Genomic DNA, 10233 nt, shown 5'->3' with positions numbered 1-10233 from the left:
GCAGAAAATGAAAAGATGATCTGTTTTCTGTTACAGCGATTGTGAAATGCACATAGATCTCAGCCCAGAAGGAATCAATTTGACTAACGTAGATGTAAAATCAAAATTAATAGAACTATAATCCCTTTGGTGATCTGCATTTGTTCTGAATGATCTTATCAAACGTTCCTGGTGAGACAGGACACAATATGATTGCTAAGACACCAGGAGTGGGGAGGGCAATAAGTCAGATGGAGAGAAGATACTAGATGTCATGTGCTTCCCTTGCTTAGAGAAAATGGATGAAGTGAGATTGAGATACCAACTGTAGAGCCTGGACTGCCGAACCAGGATCCTGACCTTAGGAGCCCCTTCGTGATGTGAATACACCGGCTCAGACTCAGATGTGTCCAGAGCATGTGGTCCTGATTTGTATCAGGGCACTGGAGGCTTATGAATGATCCCCAGACTCAAAGGAAACAGAGCACCCTTAATTACTTAAGTCTTGTTAAAGTCCAGTACCATCTGCTCCAACAGGTAGGTTTCACCAGGAAGACAGTCAGGGAGGGTTGCTTATGCAACAAGTGTTTATTAAGTGCCTTCTATGTATAAGGCACAGTGCAGAACGATGGAAATAAAATGGAGAATAGGATCTATACCATCGGAGGACTCATAGGCTGGAGGCTTCTGACCAAGGAATTCCCATACAACCCAGTTTCTCCACGTGTAAAAGGGGAGACCTACCCCCCTCACATGCTAAACATGAGATTAAATGAACTGAGGCCAGGTGCGGTGGCTCAGGCCTGTGATCCCAGCACTTTGGGAGGCTGAGGTGGCCGGATCACCTGAGGTCAGGAGTTTGAGACCAGTATGGCCAACATGGTGAAACCCTGTCTTTACTAAAAATATAAAAAGTAGCCAGGCGTGGTGGCACATGCCTGTAGTCCCAGCTACTCAGGAGGCTGAGGCCCGAGAATTGCTTGAACCTGGGAGGCGGAGGTTGTAGTGAGCAGAGATTGCGCCACTGCACTCCAGCCTTGGCAACAGAGTGAGATGCCATCTCAAAAAAAATAAATGAATTAAAAAAAAAAGAATTGATATATGTAGAGCAAGCAGTAAACACTTGGCATATATCCAGTGCTCAGTAGTTGCTGGTTCCCCCTCTGTCTCTTCTCCAGGGTTCTCTCCTACCTGAGCCGTCTTTGGTTACTCTGAATCTTGCCCACTCTGGTCTGTCCCGTCAGGATAGTTCCACGGACCTAACTCTTGACCTTCTGCTGTTGTTTTAACCCAGATACCCTAAACAACGCCTGAACTTGTCCTTACAGTGCCTCCCACCCTTGTACTAAGACCTCTCACTATAGGGCTGACATTTATTTGGTTAGGAAAGCCATCTGGCTTTAAAATGTGCATATATCTGGGCTGCAACAGCGATTTCAATTTGTAGATTTCACCATGGTTGTTCTGTGAAGCAGTGTTCAGGTTTATTAATTTTATATGCATTGGAGTTTTTGAAATTGTTAGTTCGTATGTATGGAAATAAATTTTCATGAAACGAACCACAAGTTCTGTTATATAGGACGTCTTTAATACCACAGTAAAATAGCTTTTAGATTACTAGAATGTCAGGTTTCTGCTAAAAATTTGTGTCACAAAAGGGAAAAAAGAAAGCATGGATGAAATACAAAAAGAAAAAATAGATGTGAAGTTACTGTAGTTTTGATTATGTTTAGAGGGCAATTTTTACGGTTTTCCCAGGGACCCAGACCTTTCTCCATCCTACGAAGAAGGCCTGTAAAGGTTGGGGTGATTTATCTCAATTCCACTGGTGCTCAGGAGCAACCTAGGCCAGCTGGAGTCGAGCTAGAGGCTGAGCCAGAAGGAAATAAGAGGCCAAAGTAAGGGCTGCAATTGCAGGCAGCCTCCAACAAGCACCTGGTTAGGTAACTGGGCTCAGACGTGGAGGAAACAGGATCTCACAGCCTCCGGGTTGAAACCTTAGCCCAGACCGGCCCAAGATGGAACCCAGCTGAGGCTCTGCTTGCTAATGAGCCCTGCCTGCTCTGTGGACCAAGGGTGGAGGAATATTGATGTTTCAGCTTGATGGTTTTCACTGAAATCACATCAATGGCTGTCTGCCTGAGAAAAGGCAGTTTAGGGTGCTCTTTTCTCCTTGGAGTTAATTTTCCCATCTGCCCCAGGCCAGAAAGCCACGGGAGATATTTCATAGCTGCTTACAGAATGATTCAGGTCTTCACAAAATCAAAACTATTAATAGTACAAAGTACAGAATTCAGCAGAAAGCAAGAAAACGAGCCATGGAGAATGTCTGTTGTTAGAGAAGCAATGTGAAGAGTTGAACCAGAAGCTTAGATATTTAAAAAAGCACAAAGTTGCACGTGATACTGCTTTACTGGGACTGACAAGGAAATAAAATGGAAAAGCAAATTATCCTACTCCAGTCAAAAAAAAAATTATTTTCACATATTTCCCACAATTTTTGTTCTACTCCCTTTATATACTTTTCTCTCTGCCTAAGAATGAATTTTGAATCATCATTCTGCTGCCAGAAATTTGTCTCACATTACCAAGTGTGTTTGCAAAGTAAGGATACTGATTTCTGCAAATCACGCCTGAGAATCAATGTCATTATTTCATAATCAAAGTATGTACACTATCTGTTTAGCAGATATAATTAGAGACATTGGCAATCTCTGATTTTACTTGTCAGAATATGGAGTTTGGACTTATTTCAGAACTTTGCATTTTCAAAATAGTTTATACTTCTAAAAGTAATCTTACCTTATTTAATAACTTAATATTATCTGCTGCCCTGCCCCCATTTGATAACCCAAGTGAGATTATCACTAGATTGTCTCAGATTATAAATTCTTTGTCAGCAGGGATTAGACCCCTGCAGTTTCCTGTATATAATATTTTGCAATTAGATGTTTGATAGTGCTTTGAAATAGGAACTCAGTTTTTAACTTTTGGTCTTTTTATTTTCAACATAATGAACCATGAAATAGTGAAAATTCCATTTTTCTTGTTATACGATTTTAGGCATTGTCATTTTTTCCAGTTACAAGCTCAGTTACAGAGAGAAGGAATTATACTACCTCTTACAGAATCAGCAACCAACAGACTCACAACACAACCAACTGGAAAAAGCAGAACAACCCAGGAGCTGTATACTATGGAAGACCAGGTTGAAAGACTGGGCTGACTTTAGGTCGGCCTTCTTCATGTAGTCACCCACAGATGGGTTTTAGGAGCTCTGGACATCCCCCAAAATTCCTTGTTGGAAAATTTGGGGGTGAATTAGTGTCTGTTGCTTACTCAGATGCTCAAAGAAGCTCAGGTATCCCCACTTCCCTCAAAAAGGTAAAATCACAATTCTGTGTTTTCTGTTTTCCTGCTTCCATTAGATTGAGAAGGCAATGTGTTTAAGGGCAGCTAAGGCAACGTGCAGATGATGCTTGGGTACCTTAGAGTCATTTCCTCTCTTCTTTCTGCTAACAGAACCCTGACTTTGCTCAGGACAACAGTGTGCCCAGCCTGAGGAGATCATTCTTGATATTTGAAATCATGACAAGCTCATTCTCTTTCCTTGTAAATATCCCAGCTGCCCTTTAAGCTAGGACATGTGTTCCATGGACATGTGTTGCCTTTCTTGCCAATAAGATGCAGAGAAGTCTTCAGGGAGGCTTCTGGAGAGCTTCTGCTTTCTTGATACATGATAAAGTAGGGGCTGACTCAGTCCCTTCCCCTTCTTTCTGCCTTGAATTTGCATGTGATACTTGGAACTACAGCAGCCACCTTGCAACCATGAGTACACGCATGAGGATGATAAGCCAATATGCAAAATGAGAAGACAGAAAGAGCCTGAGTCTAATGAGTTTTTATGAAGCTGGCAGACCAATCCTGATATGGACTTTCTCTGAGTTTCTTGTTAAGTAAAGAGTAAACCATCCTTATGACTTAAGCTATAGTTAGTAGAGGGTTTCTGCTACTTGCAGTCAAATGTGGGCCTCAGTGGATACAGTGAATAATCTTTTATGGCTTAAAATACAATAAATTGATTCTGTTAAAAAGTACCACTAGATGATGTTTTTCAATGAATTCTGCGAACTATATTATTTTGCTAGTCTTCTAACTACGCCTGCAGGAAGTGCAAGGGAAAAATCAGGAGTGAATAGAGTGATCACCTGCGTTTAAATGGTATTCCTCCTGATATAAAAAAGAGTGGATTTTATCTTATTTTTGGTCTGTAATACTCAATGAATGGAAATAGTTATATAGGCAGAGACTACACCTCTACTTCCAACTGACATGGACATTGTTTCTATGCTTTTCTGCTCCAAAGATTTCTTTTTCTTTTTCTTTTTTTTTAAACTTTAATTTTAGATTCAGGGGTATAGGTGCAGGTTTGTTACATAGGTAAACTCGTGTCATAGGGGTTTCTGGTACAGATTATTTTATCACTCAGGTTAGTAACCAAACAAGCATTTATAACTTGATAAAATTCTTGTACTATTTCATCATATTGCCTGCATACAGGTATAAAAGAGCAACTCATTTATTAAGGTTTAAATTTTTTGGCCGGGCACGGTGGCTCACACCTGTAATCCCAGCACTTTTGGGGGTGAAGGTGGGTGGATCACTTGAGGTCAGGAGTTCTAGTCCAGCCTGGCCAACATGGTGGAACCCCATCTCTACCAAAAATACGAAAATTAGCCAGGCGTAGCAGTGCACGCCTATAGTCCCAGCTACTTGGGAGGCTAAGTCAGGAGAATCGCTTGAACCTGGGAGGCAGAGGTTGCAGCGAGCCGAGATCGTGCCATTGCACTCCTGCCTGGGCAACAGGGCAAGACTCTGTTTCAAAAAATAAAAATAAATAAATAAATAAATGTTTTTGTTTGCTCTCTATATATATGTTTTTTGAGACAGAGTCTCGCTCTGTTGCCCAGGCTGGAGTGCGGTGGCATGACCTCGGCTCACTGCAAGCTCCACCTCCAGGGTTCATGCCATTCTCCTGCCTCAGCCTCCCGAGTAGCTGGGACTACAGGCGCCCACCACCATGCCCGGCTAATTTTTTGTATTTTTAGTAGAGACGGGGTTTCATCGTGTTAGCCAGGGTGGTCTCAAGCTCCTGACCTTGTGATCTGCCCACCTCGGCCTCCCAAAGTGCTGGGATTACAGGTGTGAGCCACTGTGCTCAGCCAAAAAATTTAAACCTATGCCCAGCTGTTTGCATTATATTTTTTATGTGTTGTAAAAAAGCTGGCTGGGCATGGAGGCTCACATCTGTAATCCCAGCAGTTTGGGAGGCTGAGGTGGGAGGATCGTTTTAGGCCAGGAGTTTGAGACCAGCCTGGGCAACATAATGAGACCCTGTCTCTATGAGAAAAACAAAAGAAAAAAAAGAAAAAAAGCCTATTTGGACAAGTAAACCACTTGGAATTTTAAAATCAACTTCTATTGTATTCAAAGATAAACCATTTAAAAATATCAAGGAAGGAAAAAGCCACTGAATTAAGTTAGCATATTCTCCTCCAATAAATTTAATTATATGTATTTCTATAAATTTACATACTACTTCATATGCATTTATGTATATATTTGTGGATTATTACTTTCATTTTTTAGAGACTGCGGTCTTGCTATGTTGCCTAGGCTGGTCTCAAACTCCTGACCTCAAATGATCCTCCTGCCTCAGCCTCCCAATGTGCTGGGATTACAGACATGAGTGACTGTGGCCAGCCAGATTATTACTTTTTTTTAAAAACAGCTTTATCTACAGTATACCAAAGGTGACAGGGTTGGATATTTATCAGTTAGTACTGCTGTGTAACAAACCCCTCCAAAACTTAGTTTAAACAGCAAAGGTGTTATCACTTGTGACTGCAGGTCAGTTGGTCTAGCCTGGGCTTGACTGGGCATGACTCCACACTGAAGGTTGGTTCCAGGCCTGTCTCACTCTTCTTGGACCAGCAGGCTGGCTGGGACTTGTTTTTCTTATGGCAATGGCAGGGCTGTGAGAGGGTAAGAGGACAAGCCAAATGTGCAGATGCATTTCAAGCCTTTGCTTGTATCACGTCCCCTGACATGCCATTGGCTAAACTGAGTCATAGGGCCAAGCCCAGCATTCATAGTGTGAGGAAATAGACCTCACTGCCGGGCGGGAGGGACTGCAAAGTTACATGGCCATGTTCACAGGAAGATCCAAGGGACAACAGGTGAAAACTAGAATGCAGTGTGAGGGAAGAAACACTGGTAACAAAGGCCAGCTTCTGACATTGTTCCAGCTCAGTTTTTAGAAACTGACAGAGCTAAGAGTTAAAGAAACTATCTTAGGAAAGAGAGATGCCTGGTACTCCTGCCACAGAAGATAAAATTCTTCATACTGAACATGTTTAGGCAATGCTTAGAAGAATTACCTTGACAATGCTTTTAGAAAGATCACCATTCACTACTATTGTACTCATGTCCCTTTCTAGAGTGAGCCTAGTATTTCTATGTAATAAAGAAAATTGTTTTGTCATTGTTTTGCCTTTCTGTTATGCCAGAATTGTACAGATATTGTTTTTACAAAATCCATAATACATATATACATTTTTTTGGTGGAGTTTTTTGCTCTTGTTGCCCAGGCTGGAGTGCAATGGTGCGATATCGGCTCACCGTAACCTCGGACTCCCAGGTTCAAGCAATTCTCCTGCCTCAACCTCCCGAGTAGCTGGGATTACAGGCATGCACCACTGTGCCTGGCTAATTTTGTATTTTTAGCAGAGATGGGGTTTTTCCATGTTGGTCAGGCTGGTCTCGAACTCCTGACCTAAGGTGATCCACTCGCCTCAGCCTCCCAAAGCGCTGGGATTACAGGCGTGAGCCACTGCGCCCGGCCATATGTTAATGACCAATTTTTTTTTTTTTTGAGATGGAGTCTCGCTCTGTCACCCAAGCTGGAGTGCAGTGGCGCAGTCTCGGCTCACTACAACCTCTGCCTCCCGGGTTCAAGTGATTATCCTGCCTCAGGCTCCTGAGTAGCTGGGACTACAGGTGCCTGCCACCACACCTGGCTAATTTTTTGTGTTTTTAGTAGAGACGGGGTTTCACCATGTTAGCCAGGATTGTCTTCATCTCCTGACCTCAGGTGATCCGCCTGCATCGGCCTCCCAGAGTGCTGGGATTACAGGCGTGAGCCACTGTGCTCGGCCATGACCAATATTTTTAACAATTAGGAGCCAAAATAACAGCCATGTTCTTCACATGCAGTATTTCATATTAATCTTCACAGCAACTCTGTGAAGTAGGAATTATGTATTATTATGTTTTATATTATTTCTGTTTTACAGATGAATTGAATCTTAGGTTAAGTAACCCGCTAAAGATCACACTTAACAAACAGGATTTGAACATAGTTCATCTTGGGTGGGCTGGGTGGCTCATGCTTGTAAACCCAGCACTTTGGAGGCCCAGGCAGGAGGACTGCTTGACCCCAGGAGTTTGAGGCCAGCCTGGGCAACATAGCAAGACCTCACCTTTCTTTAAAAAAAAAAAAAAAAAGAAGATGAATTTTGATCATTTCATTTAGGATCAGGACCCACAAGCTTAACAGGACACACACTGCTTCTTGTATCCCCTATGTGAAAACAGTGCCCATGCTTTTGTTGTTCTAGTGCAATTTGGCACATGAAACCACAACCAAACTGAGACCATGAAATATACATGCTGTAAAATAAAATAAGTTACGCATCTCTGTTTCAGCATTTTGGGTGTCATATCACCCCTGTAGTCCCAGCTATTTGGGAGGCTGAGGTGGAAGGATCGCTTGAGCCCAGGAGTTTCAGGCTGCAGTGAGTTATGATCACATCACTGCACTCCAGCATGGGTGAGAGGGCCAGACCCTGCCTCTTAAAAAAACGAACAAACAAAAAATAAATCATTATTACAACTCTTTTTCAGTGTTGGAATACAGAAAATAGCCCATCTAGTTTGCTTTTGAGCACTCTATCCTGCAGATCTTGGTTGATTGTTGGAAGAATGCATTTTATGGAACACATGTTAATTTTCTAAGGTTCTGAGCTCTCTTATTTACCAGGGCCAGCAATATCACTGGCCTCATTGGCTTCTCAAACCAGTCTGGCCTGGGCTAGCCACGCCCACGGTGGACTAGCGATCTGAACTCTTGTTCCCTGTTTTGGCAGGTCCCAGCCCCAGGACCCCTTTTCCCGTTGCTCAGGACCACGGAGGAGTGTGTAGGCAGCTGAGTCCCCACTGCTGCTTTAAAATGTCTATTTTTTCCTCTCTCATTCTTGATCATGTTCTGCCTACTTTTCTGAAACCTGGTGTTAACTCAACACACAGAGAAACATTTGAAGAAACTGCTCACAACTCAAACCCAGAATTAACCCTTTAGCCTTCAGCCCCACCCTTTGTTTGCTCATGGATCTGAACAAAGTAATCACTGGGTTTTTAAATGTTTTCAAGAGTCATGAATTATTGTCTTAATTGTTTTAAGCTATAAAAATTAATTCTTTTAAAAAGGGTATTCTTAAAAATCCTTTTGGTACGAATGGTAACAGTAGAACAAACACATCCATTTAACCTAAAAGAGTTTTCATGTAATAGCAAGTCAACAATTATTCATTCAACTAGCATGTGATTTTTTCTTCTTTAACAAGAGTGGTACGGTTTTGTGGGTGCTTTGGGGATGGCTAATAAACATGAGAGGACATACCTGGTTGATCCTGACAGTAGCAAAAGAAGAAAATAATAAATTTTAAAAAGAAATAGGAGGATTGTCAAGGCCTCTGCTGGGGTGGGTAGGGGAGGTGGAATTCAAATTTTTGAGTAACTGACAACGGCACAAGCACTGACCACTCAGAATGGACACTGGTCACAAACAGCCTGTGTGGCTGTATTGGTGTCACCTTAACATTAAATGGGTCAACTTTCCTTTGGTGCCAGCACTAACTGGTTTCCAGCTCCAACACCCCAGCTCTGGCTACAAACTTCTGTTAGGCACTTTTTTTTTTTTTGGGACGGAGTCTCGCTCTGTCGCCCAGGCTGGAGTGCAGTGGCATGATCTCGGCTCACTGCAAGCTCCGCCTCCCGGGTTCACACCATTCTCCTGCCTCAGCCTCCCTAGTAGCTGGGACTACAGGCGCCCGCCACCACGCCCGGCTAATTTTAGTGTATTTTTTTTTTTTAGTAAAGACGGGGTTTCACGGTGTTAGCCAGGATGGTCTCGATCTCCTGACCTCATGATCCGCCCGCCTTGGCTTCCCAAAGGGCTGGGATTACAGGCGTGAGCCACCGCATCTGGCTGGCACTTTTGTGAACAAATCCTACTGTCGAAAGGAAAGGATTTGTCACCATTTGGGAGATTCAGTTCCTGAAGGCAATTTCAAAATATTTTCAAAGAGATTTTGAGCACTTTCTAGAAAAAGTTACCCCTTCTTAAAGTGTGCTGCTGATTGAGAACAGAAATTCGGCATATTTAGTCAAGGATGTCCACTGTTATTTTTATTTTTTGAGACAGCGTCTCACTCTGTCACCCAGGCTGGAGCGCAGTGGCACAATCTCGGCCCATTGCAACCTCCGCCTCCCAGGCTCAAGCGATTCTTCTGCCTCAGCCTCCTGAGTAACTGGGATTACAGGCGCCTGCCACCAGGCCCGGCTAATTTTTGTGTTTTTAGTAAAGACGGGGTTTTGCCATGTTGGCCATGCTGGTCTCGAATTCCTGACCTCAGGTGATCCGCCCGCCTCGGCCACCCAAAGTGCTGGGATTACAGGTGTGAGCCACCAAGACCCACCAAGAATGTGCACTGTTATTTTGTCATACTTCCTGGTAATTGGTATATTTAGTGGTGGCTTCCATGAAGTGACTATCATTTTATTGCAATGTCAAGTCAGGTGGCAGTGTCTGACTTAGTTGGAGAACTTTAAACCTAGTGAGAAAAGGTGGTTACTATTAGAGCAGTAGGCGTAGAAGTATCACACTGTAAAGGAGAACGAGTTCGATTTGGAAAGAGCAACCAGATATCCCAGTTTGACAACCAGCAGTAAGGAGCACCTTGCTGTTTGCCTTCTGCATGTTGGTTGCTGGATGGATGGAGTCCATAGGAACAGAAACAGGTTCCCCAAACAGAACTGTCCTGAGCTCACTCTGTCTCAGTGCTGCTTCTGCCCTTCATGCTTGGGATATTTTTTTCATAGTGAATTTGCAAGTTTAGAAGGTCTCTCAAAATG

The sequence above is a fragment of the Homo sapiens genome, chromosome 7 (genome assembly GCF_000001405.40).
Source record: "Homo sapiens chromosome 7, GRCh38.p14 Primary Assembly".
Taxonomy (NCBI): Eukaryota; Metazoa; Chordata; class Mammalia; order Primates; family Hominidae; genus Homo; species Homo sapiens.
This window is presented reverse-complemented; position numbering follows the sequence as displayed.